The sequence below is a fragment of the Homo sapiens genome, chromosome 5 (genome assembly GCF_000001405.40).
Source record: "Homo sapiens chromosome 5, GRCh38.p14 Primary Assembly".
In the NCBI taxonomy this organism is placed as follows: Eukaryota; Metazoa; Chordata; class Mammalia; order Primates; family Hominidae; genus Homo; species Homo sapiens.
Window position 1 is genome coordinate 43,133,788 of NC_000005.10, and position 20,204 is coordinate 43,153,991.

Consider the following 20,204-nt stretch of genomic DNA (forward strand, 5'->3'; position numbering starts at 1 on the left):
TAGTGTTCAAATAATGGAACACTAGGCATAAATGGATTAAATAATGCAGGAATGGAAAGTGTGAACAGATGTACAACTGCTGTAGAGCTTGTATCAGTTGTCAGAAACCTTCCAACAAAGAAAAGCGTAGGACCAGATGGGTTCATTGATTAATTCAATGAAATGTTAAAAGAAATTAATGCCAGTCCTTCTCATAGCCTTCCAAAAAAACTGAAGAGGAAGGAATATTTCCAAATTCATTAGTAGGCCAGCATTACCCCAGTACCAAAGCAAGACAGGCCACAAAAAAGAAAACTATAGCCCAATATCCTTGATGAATATAGATGCAAAACTTTGCAGTGAAATACTAGCAGACTGATTCTAACAGCAAGGTACAGGTGTCATATTCCATGACTAAGTGAGATTTACCCTTAGGATGCAAGGATAGTTCAACATAGGAAAATTAGTTAATGTGATATACCATACTAACAATAAAGAAGCAAAATGACGTGAGTATCTCAATAGATGAAGAAAAAGCCTTGGACAAAATTTAATACCCTTTCTCAGTAAAAACTCTTAAACAAACGAGGAATAGAAGGAAATTATCTCAACATAATAAAGGCCCACAGCTAGCATACTCAACGGTGAAAAACTGACACTTTTTTCTCTAAGATCAAGGAACAAGACAAGGATGCCTACTCTTATCACTTCAATATAGTACTGGAAATCCTCGTTAGAGCAATTAGGCAAGAAAAAGAAGTAAATGCCATCCAAGTAAGAAAGGAAGGAATCAATCTCTTTTTGCAGATGACATCTTATATATAGAAAACTTTAAAGACAACACAAAAAACTACTAGAACTAATAAATTTAGTAAAGTTGCAGGATACAAAATCAGCATACAAAAGTCAGTTGCTTTTCTTTTTTTCTTTTTTTTTTTTTTTTTTTTTTGGGAGACAGAGTTTCACTCTTGTTGCCCGGGCTGGAGTGCAGTGGCGTGACCTCGGCTCACTGCAACCTCCGCCTCCTGGGTTCAAATGATTCTCCTGCCTCACCCTCCCGAGTAGCTGTACAGGCTCCCCCTATCACACCCAGCTAATTCTTTGTATTTTTAGTAGAGATGAGGTTTCACCATTTTGGCCAGGCTGGTCTCGAACTTCTGACCTCAGGTGATCCATCCACCTCAGCCTCCGAAAATGTTGGATTGCAGGCATGAGCCACCGCGCCCGGCCATCAGTTACATTTTTTTTTGAGACTGAGTTTTGCTCTTGTTGCCCCGGCTGGAGTGCAATGGCGCAATCTCGGCTCCCCCCAACCTCCGCCTCCCAGGTTCAAGCAACTCTCCTGCCTCAGCCTCCCGAGTAGCTGGGATTACAGGCATGCACCACCACGCCTGGCTAATTTTGTATTTTTAGTAGAGACGGGGTTTCTCCATGTTGAGGCTGGTCTCGAACTCCTGACCTCAGGTGATCCACCAACCTCGGCCTCCCAAAGTGCTGGGATTACAGGTGTGAGCCACTGCGCCCGGCCATCAATTGCATTTTTATACACTAACAATGAACTATCTGGAAAGGAAATTAGGAGAACAATCCCATTTATATTGACACCATAAAGAATAAAGTAACTGGGAATAGGCTTAACCTTTCACCTCCTTAGGTGAGAGACATGCAATACTGAGAACCATAAAACATTAAAGAAATTGGGCTGGGCACAGTGGCTCACGCCTGTAATCCCAGCACTTTGGGAGGCGGAGGCGGGTGGATTGCTTGAGGTCAGGAGTTCAAGACCAGCCTGAACAACATGGTGAAACCCTGTCTCTTCCGGAAAAAAATACAAAAATTAGCTGGTTATGGTGGCCCATTCCTGTAGTCCCAGCTATTCGGGAGGCTGAGGTTGCAGTGAGCATGGATTGCACCACTGCACTCGAGCCTGGGCGACAGAGCGAGACTCCGTCTCAAAAAAGAAAAAAGAAACTAAAGACACTCAATAGATCTTCATGGATTTGGAACACTCAGTATTGTTAAATTGTCCATACAGATTGAGCATCTCAAATTTGAAAATCTGAACTGCTTGCCAGGTGCAGTGGCTCACGCCTATAGTCCCAGCACTTTGGGAGGCCGAGGCGGGCATATCACAATTTCAGGAGTTCAAGACCAGCTGGCCAACGTAGTGAAACCCTGTCTCTACTAAAAATATAAAAATTAGGTGGGTATGGTGGTGCGTGCCTGTAGTCCCAGCTACTTGGGAGGCTGAGGAAGGAGAATCGCTTGAACCCGGGAGGTGGTGGTTGCGGTGAGCCGAGCCTCTGTACTCCAGCTCGGGCAACAGAGTGAGACTTGGTCTCGAAGAAGAAAAAATGAACTGCTATAAAATTTGAAACTTTCTGAGCATCAACATGACTCAACGGAAATGCTTGTTGGAGCATTTTGGATTTCGGATTTTCAGATTTGGGATGCTCAACCTGTGTCAAGTATAATGCAAATATTTCAAAATCCAAAACAGTTGTGATCCCAAGCTTTTCATATGAGGGATATTCAGCCTGTATTACAGAAAGTGGGCTACAGATTCAATACAGTCCCTCTCAAAATCCTGATGGAATTTTTTTTGTTTTATGGAAACAGGAAAAGCAGTTCTAAAATTCATATGGAACCACAGAAAATCATGGACTAGCCAAATCAATCTTGAAAAAGAACAAAGCTAGAGGCATCATACTTTTTTTTTTTTTTTTTTTTTTTTTTTTTTGAGGTAGTCTTACTGTGTTGCCCAGGCTGAAGTGCAGTGGTGTAATCTTGGCCCACTGCAGCCTTAGCCTCCCAAGTAGCTGGGATTACAGGTGCGTGCCACCACCCCCATCTAATTTTTTTCTTTTTTTCTTTTTTCTTTTTCTTTTTTTTTTTTTTTTAGTAGAGACGGAGTTTCACCATATCGACCAGGCTGATCTCGAACTCCTGACCTCAGGTGATCCACCAGCCTTGGCCTCCCAAGGTGCTGGGATTACAGGCATGAGCCACTGCACCCAGCTGACATGATACTTCTTGATATCAAAATATTTTACAGAGCTACAATAACCAAAACAGTATGGGACTAGCTTAAAGAGACATACAGACCAAAGGAGCAGAATAGAGAGCCCACAAATAAAAACATGCAAATAATATGGTCAACTGATCTTCAGGGATGCCAAGAATGCACAATAAGGAAGGAATGTTTTCTGCAACAAATGATGTTGGAAGAACTAGGTATTCACATGAAAAAAGATGAAATTGGACCCCTATCTTCTACCATAAAAAAGAAAAAAACTCAAAATGAATTGGAGACTTAGACATAAGACCAAAAAATGTAAATCTCCTGGAAGAAAACATGAGGGGAAGCTTCACCACATCATTCTTAGTAATTTCGTGGATGTGACGTCAAAAGCACAGCCAACAACAGAAAATAAGACAGGTGGGACTACATCAAACTAAAAAGCTTCTGTACAGCAAAGGAAACAACTGAGTGAAAAGGAAATCTAAGGAATGGGAGAAAGTATTTGCAGAACCAAATAAATGATAAGGAATGAATCCCAAAAATATATGAGAAACTCCCACAACTGATAGTAAAAAATATCTGCCCAATTAAAAACAGTCTAAATGATGCAGAAAAAAATTAAATTAAAAATGTTTTTTTAAATGTGCTAAGAACTTGAATAGACATTTCTCCAAACAGATGGCCAACAGATACATGAAAAAAAAGTTCAGTGTCACTAGGCATCAAGGAAATGCAAATCAAAACCACTATGAGGTATCAGTCACTTCACACCTTTCAGGATGGCTATCAAAAAAAAAAAGACAACTAGTATTGGTGAGGATATAAATAAATTGGAATCCTTGCACAATGTTGGCAGGAATAGGTGCAGCCATTATGGAAAACAGTATGAATGTTCCTTAAAAAATTAAAATACCATACAATTCAGCAATCCCACTTGCTGAACATTTATCCAAAAGAACTGAAATCAGGATCTTGAAGTTTTAGCACTCCTATGTTCATTGCAGCACTATTTACAGTAGCCACGAGAGGAAATAAATATTCGTCAACAGATTAATGGATAAAGAAAATGTAGTATATGTATCCAATGGAATACTATTCAGCTCTTAAGAACAAGGATATTCTGCATATGCAACCACATGGATGAACCTTGAGGACATTATGCTAAGTGAAGTAAGCCAGTCACAGACATAAACTGCATATTTCTATTTATATGAGGAATCTAAAATAGTCACTTCCACTCATATGAGCTATCTCAAATAGATTGAAAGAGTGGAATACGGGTTGCTAGGGGCTGGGAGGGAGGAGGAAATGGGCAGTTACTAATCAGTGGGCATAAAGTTTCAATTGCGCAAGATGAATAAACTGGAGGTCTGTACAACATTGTACCTAGAGTCAACAATAGTGTACACTTAAAAATGTGTTAAGTGGGTAGATCTCATGTTCTTATTACAATAAATGTTAAAAGGTTTCATTGAACATGTGACATTAGAGTTGGACCTTTAAGGGGTGGGTGGTAGGATGAGTATAACCAGAGATGAAATGATTAAGCATCCAACTAGGAGGGTGTTAATAAAGGCAAGTCAGGCTGGGTGCGGTGGCTCACGCCTGTAATCCCAGCACTTTGGGAGGCTGATCGGGCAGATCACTTGAGGTCGGGAGTTTGAGACCAGCCTGACCAACATGGGGAAACCCCATCTCTACTAAAAATTCAAAATTAGCCAGGCGTGGTGGTACATGCCTGTAATCCCAGCAGCTCGGGAGGTTGAGACAGGAGAATCTCTTGAATCTGGGAGGCAGAGGTTGTGAGCCAAGATCACTGTATTGCACTCCAGCCTGGGCAACAAGAGTGAAACTCCATCTCAAAATAAATAAATAAAGGCAAGTCAGCTATTAGAAAGTGCAGGGTTTGTTTGAGAAATAGTATATAGTGTGTGTGTGATGTCGTTTAAAATTTGGAAAGGTAAATAGGAAAATAATGTGAAGGGCCTTGAAATAAAGTCAGAGAGGTACTAAATTTTGTTTGCTAAGTTGTGAAAAGCTATTGAAGATTTTGGAGCTGAGTTGGCACAGCTGTAATCTCCCTGGCAAGAAATGTAGCATGTCTGACATGTAATAGCCAATTCATATATTTGAGTGATAGAATCTTACTGTTCTCCAAGAGCCTCAGGAAATTTAAAGTAGTTTAAGATTTTCCAGCTAGGTAGTGCTGAAATTTGGCTGTAATATTATTGTATTGCTAATGAGAATTTTTCCAGAAAATAGTTTTCAAAAATAAATACTCAACAAGCTCCAAGCCCTGGGCTTTTCTTTCTTTACTAAACATTGTAAGATTTGAGTCAATATGATTACATGCTCTAATGTACATCTTCTTTACAGGTGTTAGTAAAATGGCCTTTCGCCATTTAATTGAGTTCACATATACAGCAAAATTAATGATACAAGGAGAAGAAGAAGCCAATGATGTATGGAAAGCAGCAGAGTTTCTACAAATGCTAGAAGCTATCAAAGCCCTTGAAGTCAGGTACTTAATTTCTTTAATGGGGTTCAGATAGTCATATTCAGTCATGTTCATTCTGTTAGTGAAGAACTTACAGTATGTGTCATGCCATGAAGAACAGAGTTCTTCAGAAGAATTAAGAATATTTAAGGATCTATTAAAAAATTTTCTGGATACTGATTGTTCTTTCACTTGACTTTGATTTTCTGATCATGTGTTAAAACTGCTAATATTAAAGTAGCATCTTTGGTATGTAATAAAATAAATCTAGACAGCTTTTTAAGGATCTGGATCCTTATAAACTGTTTTGTTGGATTCAAGTTATTGTTTATACCAAGCCTTATCCTACAAAGGGTTTGGCTTACAAAGATTAACATAATACTGTTTAAAAATAAGGAAATAGATGGAAATAAATAAATTGGTTTAATAAGGAGATAATCATTTCAAGTTAGAAGTATGATAGCCAAAAATGCATACCATAAGTCTATAGTAGATGTGCTAAATCTAGCTCTAAGTGCACCTAGTTCAAAGAAAAAGACTATTCAGTTACATTATTCCTTGTTAGAAGATGAGAACAAATCAATTGCTGAGGAGCCATTCCTATTCCTAGTATTAAAATTTCTCCTGAGAAGTATTAAGAAAACATTAGGCCAGGCCCAGTGGATTACGCCTGTAATCCCAGCACTTTGGAAGGCTGAGGTGGATGGATAGCTTATGCCCAGGAGTTCACAAACAGCCTGGGCAACATGGTGAAACCCTGTCTCTACAAAAAATACAAAAATTAGCTGGGCATGGTAGTGCATGCCTGTGGTCCCAGCTACTCAGGAGCTGAGGTGGGAGGGGAGGATCACCTGAGCCTGGCAAGGTTGTGGCTGCAGCGAGCTGTGATCACGCCACTGACTGCATACCAGCTAGGGGGAACAAAGTGAGACCCTGTTTTTTTAAAAAAGAGAAAACGTGAAAGGATATAATGAACAAAGACCTCAACATCCTTACTTGATGAATAATGGCAGTGTAACATAGTTACTAAGAATAAGAGCTCAGGAGTCAGTTTCCCTGGGTTAACATCCTGCTTCTACCACTGTGTGGCCTTAATTAAGTTACTTAACCCTCCTGTCAGCTGTGTCCTCCTCTGTCAAATGAGAGTAATAACGGTACTTTCTACATGGGATTTGATTGTGAGGGTTGAATGAATTAATGCATGCAAAGTGTTTAGCATGGTGTCTGGCTAAATGACTCTGAGTACTCTAAGTATGAACTATTATCTCCTGGTACTGTTTTTTATGTTTCTCAATACAGATCATTGGCCTGATGCCAAAACAGTTTGGTAAAATCAGTTTCACATAGCGGCACAATGATTTAATCTTAACTCACTGTTGTGGTTTAGTTAAAAGATAAAATTTATTTCTCTGAGGACTCTACTGGAATTTTATTTTATTTTATTTTTTTGAGATGGAGTCTTGCTCTGTCTCCCAGACTGGAGTGCAGTGGCACAATCTCGGCTCACTGCAACCTCCATCTCCTGGGTTCAAGCAATTCTCCCTGTCTCAGCCTCCTGAGTAGCTGGGATTACAGGTGCCTGCCACCATGCCCAGCAAATTTTCGTATTTTTAGTAGAGGTGGGGATTTCGCCATGTTGCCCAGGCTGGTCTCAAACTCCCAACCTTAAGTGATCCGCCTGTCTCAGCCTCCCAAAGTGCTGGGATTACAGGTGTGAGCCACTGTGACTGGCCGAATAAAAGTTTTTTTTTAAGAGATAAAAATTTAGATAACTCTAAGAATACTGAACTGTACTCGTCCATAAATATCATCTCTTAGTTTGACAGTTCAAGATTAAACCTTTCTGACAAGAGCTTGATACGTATATATATTCTTTGATGCTTAGCACCTGGCATATAGCAGGTGTACAGGAAACATTTGTGAATAGATAGATGGATACATGCTAATTAAAACCAGATCAGTACTCTTGCAGAGAGACCTGAGCATGGATGTCAAAATAGAGATGCATTCTGAGGATATAAACCTGATCAGGCCATCTCTTCTCAAAAAGATTAAAGGAAATATATATGGATGGGGCGATGTCAGATTGTGGTTAAATATTGAATGAGAGCCTTCCAAAAGAATGTTCTCTGTGGCCCTTTTGCTGCTCATGATAGTGAGTGGTATGTCACTTTGGAGAAGATTCAAGACTGGGATCCCAAGCCTGGCGCAGTGGCTGATACTTGTAATCCCAGCACTTTGGGAGGCCAAGGTGGGTGGATTACTTGGACCTCAGGAGTTTGAGACCAGCCTGGGCACCATGGTGAAACGCCAACTCTATGAAAAATACAAAAATTAGCTGGCACTGTGGCGTGCAACTGTAGTCCCAGGTACTCAGGAGACTGAGGTGGTACGATCGCTTGAGCATGGGAGACTCAGAGGTTGCAGTGAGCCGAGATTGCACCACTGCACTCCAGCCTGGGTGAGAATGAGACCCTGTCTCAAAAAAAAAAAAAACTGGAATTCCAATAGTACCTAAAACAATCATTGCTTTTCAGTATAAACACAGTAACATGTTGAATTGTTTCTTGAACCAGATAGGCATGTAATATGTTCTGAAGAGTTCCCTTTGAAAAGAGGAAGACAGTAGTATTATATGTTGGCTGTTTATAATAATGCAGTGTTTAAGCTTCTACAGAGATGGTTTCTGTTGACTTTTTCCCCCATGCATGAGCCTTATTTTACTGTTTCTTTGTATGTCTCATCATTTTTTTTGGTTAAAAATTAGATTTTTGGCCTGGGCACGGTGGCTCACACCTGTAATCCCAGCACTTTGGAAGGCCGAGGCGGGTGGATCACTAGGTCAGGAGTTCAAGACCAGCCTGGCCAAGACGGTGAAACCCCATCTCTACTAAAAATACAAAAAAAATTAGCCAGGCGTTGTGGCGGGCGCCTGTAATCCCAGCTACTCGGGAGGCTGAGGCAGAGAATTGCTTGAACCCGGGAGGCGGTGGTTGCAGTGAGCTGAGATCATGCCACTGCACTCCAGCCTGGGCAACAGAGCAAGACTCCATCGCCCAGACTGGAGAGTACACTGGTGAGATCTCGGCTCACTGCAACCACCGCCTCCCCCGGGTTCAAGCAATTCTCTGCCTCAGCCTCCCGAGTAGCTGTGATTACAGGCTTCCGCCACCACACCCGGCTAATTTTTTTGTATTTTTAATAGAGAGGGTGTTTCACCGTCTTGGCCAGGCTGGTCTTGACCTCCTGACCTCGTGATCCACCTGCCTCGACCTCCCAAAGTGCTGGGATTATAGGCGTGAGCCATGGCACCCGGCCAAAAATTGGATATTTTTAAATAAGTTTTATTTAGATCCCACCCCCTACCTCCCCACCCCCATTCTGTCTCTCAGACATGATTTGTTTGGGTTTGGTTTGGTTTTTTGAGACAGGGTCTTGCTTTGTCACCCAGGCTGGAGTGCAGTGGCACAATCTCAGCTCACTGCAGCTTCAACTTCCCGGCCTCAAGAGATCCTCCCACCTTAGCCTCCCAAGTAGCTGGGACCACAGATGCTTGCCACCATGCCTGGCTAATTTTTGTATTTCTTTGTAGAGACAGGATTTCACCATGTTGCCCAGGCTACTAGTCTCGAACTCCTGGGCTCAAGAGACGTGGCCACCTCAGCCTCTCAAAGTGCCGGGATTGCAGGCATAAGCCACCATACTTGGCCAGACATGGTTTCTTTTTTTAATCTTTCAAGCTTTTTTTTTTTTTTTTGAAGACAGAGTCTCACTGTTACCAGGATGGAGTGCAGTGGCGTGATCTCGGCTCACTGCAACCTCTGCTTCCCGGGTTCAAGCGATTCCTTTGCCTCAATCTCCCGAGTAGCTGGGACTACAGGCACACGCCACCACGCCCAGCTAATTTTTGTATTTTTAGTAGAGATGGGGTTTTCACCATGTTGGCCAGGATGGTCTCATCTCTTTACCTTGTGATCTGCCCGCCTCTGCCTCCCAAAGTGCTGGGATTACAAGCACGAGTCACTGCGCCCGGCCTCAAGCTTTTATTTAAGTGCAGTGATCCAGGATGGATTTTAGATCTTGTTGAAAGCAGCCACATCCATGGACTGCACATAGTCCTCAAAAGCAGTGATCTGCTTCTCCACTGTTGCAAGTTTATCATCTTCAACTACACGCTGTATTTGAAGTTTCTTAATTTCCTATCCCACTGGAACTAGTTTAGATGAGCCAGACATCGTTTCTTATTGTTGTTACTGGTTTAGTGACTTTCCTGGACTTCTGTAATCCCTTTCCTGTAATTCTGTACAGTCTACATTTTGTGTGTATGGCCACTGAAGTCTGCATAGGTAGTTTACTGAACAAACTGATCATTGGACAGAAATTTTCTTAAAAGTCTTAAACCAGTAAGTCTCCACATTTTTGTTGGGGAGCTCTTTATAGGGTACACCATCAGTGTCCCATCAAGCAGTTTACAACTGCTTTAGCCTTTACTTCCTGTGTTAACAGAACCTCAAGGTCAGATAGAGATGAGAGTTGCTAAGGTCTTTCCTGGACATGTATACAGCTCTGTGCATGTGTATGGCCCTCTAGGTTCTCTGGAATATTGTCAGAGCTTTTTTTTTTTTTTTTTTTTTTTTTTTTTTTTTTTTTTCCTTGAGACGGAGTCTCGCTCTGTCCCCAAGACTGGAATGCAGTGGTGCGATCTTGGCTCACTGCAAGCTCCACCTCCCAGGTTCACGCTATTCTCCTGCCTCAGCCTCCCGAGTAGCTGGGACTACAGGCACTCGCCACCACGCCCAGCTAATATTTTGTATTTTTAGTAGGGACGAGATTTCACTGTGTTAGCCAGGATGGTCTCGATCTCCTGACCTCGTGATCCACTTGTCTCGGCCTCCCAAAGTGCTGGGATTACAGGCGTGAGCCACGGCGCCTGGCCTTTTTTTCTTTCTTTCTTTTTTTTTTTTTTTTTTTTTTTTTTTTTTGGAGACAGAGCTTTGTGTTGGCACGATCCTGGCTCACCGCAACCTCCGCCTGCCAGGTTCAAGTGATTCTCCTGCCTCAGCCTCCTGAGTAGCTGGGATTATAGGCGCTCACCACCACGCCCAACTAATTTTTTTTACTTTTGGTAGAGTCGGAGTTTCACCATGTTGGCCAAGCTGGTCTTGAACTCCTGACCTCAGGTGATCCACCTGCCTTGACCTCCCAAAGTACTGGGATGACAGGCATGAGCCATCACGTCCAGTCTGTCAGAGCTTTTTAAAGCCCCCTATGAACATCTCATTCTCCAGTTTTTCCTTTCAGTTTTTGTTCAGCTTCTTGATAGCCCAAACTTGTAATGCCACCACAGTAGTTGCAATGATAAACAGTTGCCATTGATTGTTTTTTGACAAATGTCTTGTGTTTAAGGCTATTTGAAAAGTGAGCTGTGGGTCAGATCAAATCTCCAAATATTTTATCCTGTCTTAGATTTATGTTTTAAGGAAGTGGTACACGTAAAGCTCTTAAAACAATATCTGCCACATAATAACATGATTATGCATATGTTCTTTTCATTTCTTGGAATGCCATCTGTCTGCTTGTTCATGGCAAAATTTTACTCATCTTTCTGGTCTCAGGTGAGAGCCAACAACCTGTTCTCTGAAGCTTTTCCTTACTGAGCCAAGCAGATTGACTTAGGCACTTCTATTATTCTGTATTTTTATGTTTTACATTTTCCATTACAACAATAATCATATTAGTGTTCCCACATTTTTCTAATAGTCTCCAACCTCTCTGAGGCAGGGATTATGTGTTTTTTTCATCTTCAGGAGGCATTTGTGGATGGGTTTGAAAAACTACCTCGAAATTATGCCTCTGAGACTCAGTTGCCAGGTTTATGTCCATTCCGTCATAAGCCTCTAAAATCTCTTTCCTTGCTGTTCAGTTGTGAATACAGGCTGGCTTATCCCACTCTGCAAAACAAAAGCCTGGTAGGAGCACTTTTTCTTGTTCTTTAATTACTCCTGTTTGGGATAGGGATCTGAGTTCAGAGGTCATACCTATAGTTAAGACAAGCATAAGAAAACTGGCTAAGAAGTAGTTTACGGCCTGGGTGCAGTGGCTTATGCTTGTAATTCCAGCACTTTGGGAGGCCAAGCCAGGTGGATCACTTGAGGTCAGGAGTTTGAGACCAGCCTGGCCAAAATGGTGAAACATCGTCTTTACTAAAAATACAAAAAATTAGCCGGACATGGTGGCACGCCCCTGTAATCCCAGTTTTCACAAGGCTGAGGCAGGAGAATCGCTTGAATCCGGGAGGCGGAGGTTGCAGTAAGCCAAGATCGCACCACTGCACTCCATCCAGCCTGGGTGACAGAGTGAGACTCCATCTCAAAACAAAAAAAAAAGAAGTGGTTTACAATTTACCTCAACACTTGTACTTGAAAAGAACCAAAGGAAACCGTACTTTTTCAACATAAGATGCACAATTTTTTTCCTCATTTTAATATATTTCAAATAGGAATTCCTTTTAATAGTGAGTGGCCAGGCAAGAGTTAACAGTTTCAACTGTTAATAAATTCTAGTAGTTATTTGTGTTACCGATACCAGACAAGTTGAGTTTGTCATTTAAAATGTCTTCCAACCGATTATACCATGAGTTGATCCTTAAGCGGAAAGTTATGGTAGAATTGGTATTGGAGCATTCCAAAGTGGGGTATTAATTTCATATTAATGGCGTAAATATTTGTCATCAAAGGAGTGACCACAAAAGCAATAACCAAGGGCTTTATGGGGCCTTAGGAAGACATATAATTTAACAGGCTAAACAATTTAGGAATAAAAATTAATTTAGCTGGACTACTTAAGGCAACTGTATAACTATTTTGCAAATACAGAAGGTGCATGAGGTGCTCTTCTCACATATGCAGTATGGAATTATTTTTGGAATGTAGTGTAAACTTTCTGAACGACACCGAAAAGAAATTAGGACCTCATTTTGCTTTGCTGACATTACATTATTGTTAACTTAAAACTGCGTATGGCCGGGCGCGGTGGCTCACGCCTGTAATCCCAGCACTTTGGGAGGCCAAGGTGGGCGGATATGAGGTCAGGAGATCGAGACCATCCTGGCTAACATGGTGAAACCCTGTCTCTACTAAAAATACAAAACAAAATTAGCTGGGTGTGGTGGCGGGCACCTGTAGTCCCAGCTACTCTGGAGGCTGAGGCTGAGGCAGGAGAATGGCGTGAACCTGGGAGGCAGAGCTTGCAGTGAGCCGAGATTGCGCCACTGCACTCCAGCCTGGGCGACAGAGCGAGACTCTGTCTCAACAACAATAACAACAAAAAACTGTGTATGAGTCGGGCGCAGTGGTTCATGCCTATAATCCTAGCACTTTGGAAGGCCGAGGCAGGCAATCACCTGAGGTCAGGAGTTCGAGACCAGCCTGACCAATATGGTGAAACCCTGTCTCTACTGAAAATACAAAAATTAGCCGGACATGGTGGCGTGCGCCTATAGTCCCAGCTACTTGGGAGGCTGAGACAGGAGAATTGCTTGAACCCTGGTGGTAGAGGTTGCAGTGAGCCGAGATCACGCCATTGCATTCCAACATGGATGACAGAAACTCCATCTCAAAATATATATATATATGTATATATACAGTGATACAGACACCACCACAATCAAGATCAGGGGAACACTTTTATCATTCTAGAAGCTTGTCTCATGATTGTTTGCAGTTGATCCTGATCTCTAGCCCCAGGCAATCATTGATCTGATTTTTATCACTAGTTTTTCTATAGTGTACCGTACAAAGTTCATGTTTGACTTTATTTACCTTAGCATTGTGTTTTAGAGATTTGTCCAGGTGGTTGTGGGTGTTATTTTGTTCCTTTTCATTGCTGAGTAGTATTCCACAGTGTGGGTATGCTACAGTTTGTTTATCTGATGACTTTTGCATGTTTTTTTTTAAGATTTTATCTATTAAAATAATGCTACTGTATACAAATCTTTGAGTGGATATATGCTTTCATTTCTCTTAGTAAACATCTACAAGTGGAATAGAGCTTAGTTGTTTGGTATGTGTATGTTTAACTTTGGAAAACAGTTTGGAAGTTTTTTAAATCTTTTTTTTATTTTATTTTATTTATTTATTTATTTATTTTTTGAGACGGAGTCTCGCTCTGTCGCCCAGGCTAGAGTGCAGTGGCGTGATCTCGGCTCACTGCGAGCTCCGCCTCCCGGGTTCACGCCATTCTCCTGCCTCAGCCTCCGGAGTAGCTGGGACTACAGGCGCCTGCCACCACACCCGGCTAATTTTTTTCTGTATTTTTAGTAGAGATGGGGTTTCAACATCTTGGCCAGGCTGTTTCTTGAACTCCTGACCTCGTGATCCACCTGCCTCGGCCTCCCAAAGTGCTGGGATTACAGGCGTGAGCCACCGCGCCCGGCCAGTTTGGAAGTTTAAAAAAAAAAAAAACAGTTTGGAAGTTTTTTGGTTTTATGGCCGGGTGTGGTGGTTTATGCCTGTAATCACAGCACTTTGGGATGCCGAGGCAGGTGGATCACCTGAGGTCACGAGTTTGAGACCAGCCTGGCAACATGGTGAAACCCACCTCTACTAAAAATACAAAAAAATATCTGGGTGTGCTGGTGGGCACCTGTAATTCCAGCTACTTGGGAGGCTGAGGCAGGAGAATCACTTGAACTTGGGAGGCAGAGGTTGCAGTGAGCCAAGATCATGCCATTGTACTCCAGCCTGAGCGACAAGAGTGCTTTTTTTTTTTTTTTTTTCTGGAAAAAAGAAAAAAGTAGTTTTATATGCTGGGTATGGTGGCACATGCCTATAATCCTAGCACTTTGGGAGGCTAAGGCGGGAGCATACCTTGATCCCAGGAGTTCAAGACCAGCCTGGGCAACATGGTGAGACCCTATCTCTACAAAAAAAAAAAAAAATTTTAACTAGCTATGTGTGGTGGCACATGCCTGTAGTCCCAGCTGCTTGGGGAGCTGAGGTTTGAGGATTGCTTGAGCCCAGGAGGTTGAGGCTGCAGTGAGTAGTGATCGTGCTGCTGCACTCCAGCCTGTGCAACAGAACGAGACCCTGTCTCAAAATAAAAAGTGGTTTTATCCATTTACATATTTGTGTGCAACACAACTACTTATGCCCTGTCTTCACCAGCACTTGATATTGTCAAGGGTTTTTTAAACTTTAGGTCAGGAGATGACAAACATTTTATTAAAAGGACATAAATATTTAGACTTAAATGCCATATAGTCTCTGTTGCAATTACTCAGATCTGCTGTTGTAGCAAGGCAGCTATAGACAGTATGTAAATGAATGGGTGTAGCTATGTTTTAATAAAACGTTGACATAAAACATGCTACTACTGTTAGGCCAGAGTTTGCTGACTCTTGCTTTAGTCATTCTAATTGGATATGTAGTGGTATGTTATTGTAGTATTAATATTTTTAAAACTTTAATAAGGTATAATATAAGCTGCACATATTAAAGTACACAGTTTGATGACTTTTAACATGCATGTATATTCTTGTGAAGTCATTATCACAGTGATAAACACATCTATCACTCTCTAGTTTCCTTGTGCAATTTTGTAATCCATTCCTCTCTCCCTATTCCTATCTTCATCCCTACAATTTTATGTGCATGTAATAGTATGGTAGTGCTTGTGTAATTTCTTTCACTTGCCATAATTATTTTGAAATTCATGCCGGGCACAGTGGCTCACACCTGTAATCCCAGCACTTTGGCAGGCCGAGGCGAGCAAATCACCTGAGGTCAGGAGTTCAAGACCAGCCTGGCCAACATGGCGAAACCCCGTCTGTACAAAAATTAGCTGGGCATAATGGCGGATGCCTGTAATCCCAGCTACTCGGGAGGCTGAGGGGGGAGAATCGCTTGAACCTGGGAGGCAGAGGCTGCAGTGAGCCGAGATCGTGCCATTGCACTCCAGCCTGGGAGACAGAGGGAGAAAAAAAAAAAAGGCTGGGCACGGTGGCTCACGCCTATAATCTTGGCACTTTGGGCGGCCAAGGCGGGTGGATCAAAAAAGAAAGAAATTCACGTATATTAGTGTGTGTATAAGTAGTTCATTCCTTTTTCCTGCTGAGTATTCCATTGTATGGATGTATCACCATTTGTTGATTCACCTGTTGATGGACATTTAGGTTGTTTCAAGTTTTTGGCTATTAGAAATAAAGTGGTTATGAACGTTTGTGTAACAAGTTTTTGGACATACGCTTTCATTTTTCTTGGTAGATACCTCTTAGTAGAATAGCTGGCTTGTATGGTAAGTATATGTTTAATATTCTAAGATACTGTCAGTCTCTTTTTCAAAAATGGTTGTGCCATTTTACATTCCATTCTGCAGCCTATGAATGCTCCAGTTTTTCACAGCCTTGTGAATACTTGATATGGTCAGGCTTTTTTTTATTTTAGCTGGGCTGGTGGGTATATGGTGATTTAAATTTGCATTTCTCTAATGACTAATGGTGTTGGATATTTTTTAATCGGCTTTTTTGCCATCTGTTTGTATTCTTTGGCAAGGTGCCTGATCAAATCTTTTGCCTGTTTTTTAAAATGGGATTATTGTCAAGAAGGGGGCAGCATTGTGGGGGTCTGAGATTTTATCCTGTTTGCAAGGTAGTAACTTTTTAGCTAACAGTTTCATGGATGCCGGCAAGAGACATGAGACTCTTGAGTCCAGAAAAGGGCTTGATTACTTAGAGCAAAGAAAGCAGCATGAGTTCCATGTTTGTATCAGTGTTTCTTGTTCCCTGTCCCCCTAGTCCCACAGGGGTGACACAGTGGCCTAGGTGTGTACCGTGCTCACAGTTGTTTGCATCACAGTTGAGGAATTCTGAGCTTTAGGAAACCCAAATCTTCTATAATGAGCTGCAAGCAAACCTGCCTAACCTTTGCTGTAGAGGAAACATTATTATACTGGACAATAAATAAACCTACTCTCCACTCTGGAAGAGGACAGGCTCTGTTTTCCAAAGTCCTTTGCTGTACAGACAACTTTGAAAAGATAGTCCAAAATAAAAGGCTCTCAATGTCTTTGTTTATAAGACATGCAGAAACATTATGAGTATCCATGGAGAGTTGTCTTGTTCCATATCCTTGTTTCTGTATTATCCTGGCTGGTACTGAATTTTCCCCATAAGTACAGCACTTCTTTAGCCGCTCTGATTAATCTGACCGTAGGGACCAGGACCTGGCTGGGTGCGGTGGCTCATGCCTGTAATCCCAGCACTTTGGGAGGCCGAGGCGGGCGGATCATCTGAGGTCAGGAGTTCGAGACCAGCCTGGCTAACGTGGTGGAACCCCATTTCTACTAAAAATACAAAAAAATTAGCTGGGCACGGTGACACATGCCTGTAATCCCAGCTACTCAGGAGGCTGAGGCAGGAGAATTGCTGAGGCTGCAGTGAACTGAGATCGCGCCATTGCACTCTGGCTTGGGCAACAAGAGTGAAACTCTGTCCCAAAAACAAACAAAAAACACAGGGACCAGGACCTAATCCATTCAGTTTTTCTCCTACTGGATTTATTTAAGGATTTATTGAAGTCAACAGAACTTCAAGCAGCAGGATTTGGGCACCCTGCCGTGTTGACCTTAATCATGCACCCACCACACTAAGGTTCATTCTGGACTCAGCCAACTGAACAAATCCCTAGAAAAACAGGTGACTTTCTTTTTCGGTTTCTGTATTGACTTTTCCACTTAGCCCTGGGCATTAGTCTAAGTATAGCAAGATGCTTTACAATTATACAGGCTCCACATTGTCCCATAGGGAGGATGTCTACTAGGGCAAGTTTTTCATTCATAATAAACCTGGCCCCAGTGGCTTGAAGCTGACATAAATGCCTTCCAGAGCCCAAGTGATATCAGTGAACATATCAGCTTAAGTCATGCACAATGTTGTACCACTTTTTTAATTGGATTACTCCTATTAGGGAAAACTGCCCACGGGATGTGCATAAATAAGTCAGTTATTATTCTAGGAAGCATCCCTTTGAGAATTTCTAACCAAGAGTATCCTTAAATGAGACCTCCACAGTCACCCGAGGGCTGCTTGATCTTCCTTAAACACTTGATGGTCTCTTATAACCACCTCTTAGGTGTAAGTCGTCATTTTGTTTCGTTTTGTTTTGTTTTTTTGAGACGGAGTCTCACTCTGTGCCCAGGCTGGAGTGCAGTGACGCAATCTCAGTTCGCTGCAACCTCTGCCTTCTGGGCTCAAGCAATACTCCTGCCTCAGCCTCCCTAGTAGCTGGGATTACAGGCACCTGCCACCTCACCCTGCTAATTTTTGTATTTTTGGCAGAAATGAGGTTTCTCCATGTTGGCCAGACGGGTCTCCAACTCCCGACCTCAAGTAACACACCTGCCTCGGAGTCCCAAAGTGCTGGGATTACAGGGACGAGCCACCGCGCCTTGCCAGTCATCGTATTTTTGTGAGGCAAGGAAATTAGTACCTGGCTTCCACACAAGAAGCACAGTCCCAGGGGCACATAGGAACCCTGAAAGGAAAGTACTATTTGCAATTGTTCGTGCCTCCAAAGTAGGCACGAACCTGCATCAGTGTAGAGGCACAGATTGATATAGCCTCCAATGTAGTCTCCTTTCCCAGTTCAATTAGAATGATTCAGTCTAGTTCTAGTTTTTGGAGAGACTGAGGACAGGACAGTCAGTTGACTTCTTTCCTATTTATTTATTTATTTATTTATTGAGATGGAGTCCCGCTCTGTCGCCCAGGCTGGAGTGCAGTGACATGATCTTGGCTCACTGCCTCTACCTCCCAGGTTCAAGTGATTCTCCTGCCTCAGATTCCCCGGTAGCTGGGACTACAGGCACGTGCCACTAGGTTGAGCTAACTTTTGTGTTTTTAGTGGAGACGGAGTTTCACCACGTTGGCCAGGCTGGTCTCGAACTCCCGACCTCAAGTGATCCGCCTGCTTCAGCATCCCAAAGTGCTGGGATTACAGGTGTGAGCCACCACTCCCAGCCGAGTCTGTCCTATTTATCACAAGCTCCTGAATGCCAGCTGACTTGAGTAGTAACTGTCCACCTCATGGACTGATCTCAGCTATGAGAATGGTAGTGGAGCATGGTGTTTTGCCTGCGACACACAGGAGTCATCCCCAGCTGTTTTTAGAAGATATGTTGGTAAAGTTAAGGGAAACCACTTGGCAGGGAATGGCAAACACAGCAGTCAGTTTAAAAATGCTTATAGCCATTGGAGAGACCTGCAACTGAGCATTTTTCTTAATTTGAAAGGTTCTAGGGGCAGTTCTGAAAGACAAAGGTGGTTTGTTTTGTTTTGTTTTTGGAGACAGGGTCTCACTGTGTCACCCAGGCTGGAGTGCAGTGGTGCAATCACAGCTCACTGCAGCTGTAACTTTCCAGGCTCAGATGATCCTCCCACCTCAGCCTCCCAAAGGAGCTGAGACTGTAGACATGTGCCACCATGCCCAGCTAATCTTTTATAATTTTTTGTGGAGATGGGGTCTTACTATGTTCTCCAGGCTGTTCTTAAACTCCCGGACTCAAGCGATCCTCCCGCCTCAGCCTCCCAAAGTGCTGGTATTATAGGTGTGAGCCACCACACCCAGCTTGACAAAGATTATTGTCCCTCCCTGCCCTATATCTTCTGGAGTCGTAAGATGTTTCTCTCCCTAGATGGCAAGATTGTCATTCCTCCTTCACCTCTTTTCCAGTCATCCCCTCCTCTTATGCAGACCTTTCATCTGGTAAGGTCAGGTACAAGAAGGGCAAGGACATTTAAAACTTAGAGACCCATTATGTTTCCCACTTTGGCTCACATGGGCTATTATAAGTGAGTGTACTTGGCAAGCAGTGAATTCAATCAAGTGGTCAGTATTCCTATAAGATGATGTCACTCCATTAAGAGAATCCAGATGGCTGAACTAGAATGAAGTTCGAATTTCCTAACCCTGGCTTTGGCCAGGCTGTCACCTTTAAGAGGTACCAGGCTATTCCAGGATTATTGTTGGGGGAAAAGAAAATGTTTAAGAATGTTCAGGGCGGGCCAGGCGCGGTGGTTAACGCCTGTAATCCCAGCACTTTGGGAGGCTGAGGTGGGCAGATCACCTAAGGTCAGGAGTTGGAGACCAGCCCTGACCAACATGGTGAACTCCCATCTCTACTAAAAAAAAAAAAAAAAAAAAAAAAAAGCAAAATTAGCTGGGCCTGGTGGCACATGCCTGTGATCTCAGCTACTTAGGCTGAGGCAGGAGAATCACTTGAACCTGGGAGGTGGAGTTTGCAGTAAGCGAGATCGTGCCATTGCATTCTAACCTGGGCAACAAGAGCGAAACTCCATCTCAAAAACAAACAAACAAACAAAAATTCAGGGCACAGAATCCTGCTTTTTCAGATTGGGTTTATATTACTTCCCTCCCCTTCTGTCTTCATCATTATCCACGAAGTAGCCAAGAAGACATGATCCCTTTCTAGGGACAGCTAAATTCAGTGATCAAACTGCTTTACTCAGATTTTTGGACAAAGAGGAGGTGAGGGAAGTAGAGTCAGAAATCATTTTGAGTCATTGTTTGAGAAAGCTGTCGCCATACTCAACAAGCTACTCAGTATCTATGGATGGTAGCATGAAACATCCATCAGTACCTTGACTGTTATTGATTAGCTTTTGTGGTCATTTTTGTGTATGTGATAAAG

At 42.6% G+C, this 20,204-nt stretch overlaps 1 protein-coding gene across 17 annotated transcripts in view; it reads left to right on the plus strand.

The window, feature by feature from the left end:
• Positions 1-20,204, plus strand: part of ZNF131 (zinc finger protein 131) — a 55,411-nt gene that overhangs the window by 12,874 nt on the left and 22,333 nt on the right. For 13 of the 17 annotated variants that reach the window (NM_001388319.1, NM_001330712.2, NM_003432.4 and 10 more), the window contains one exon: positions 5,378-5,522. The exons of 3 other annotated variants lie outside the window; for them this stretch is intronic. In NM_001388319.1, coding sequence (NP_001375248.1) covers positions 5,378-5,522 — 145 coding nt within the window. Of the gene's footprint in view, positions 1-2,881; positions 3,419-5,377; positions 5,523-20,204 lie in introns of all 17 variants that reach the window. One more of the 17 variants, NM_001330716.2, reaches the window with a different exon arrangement.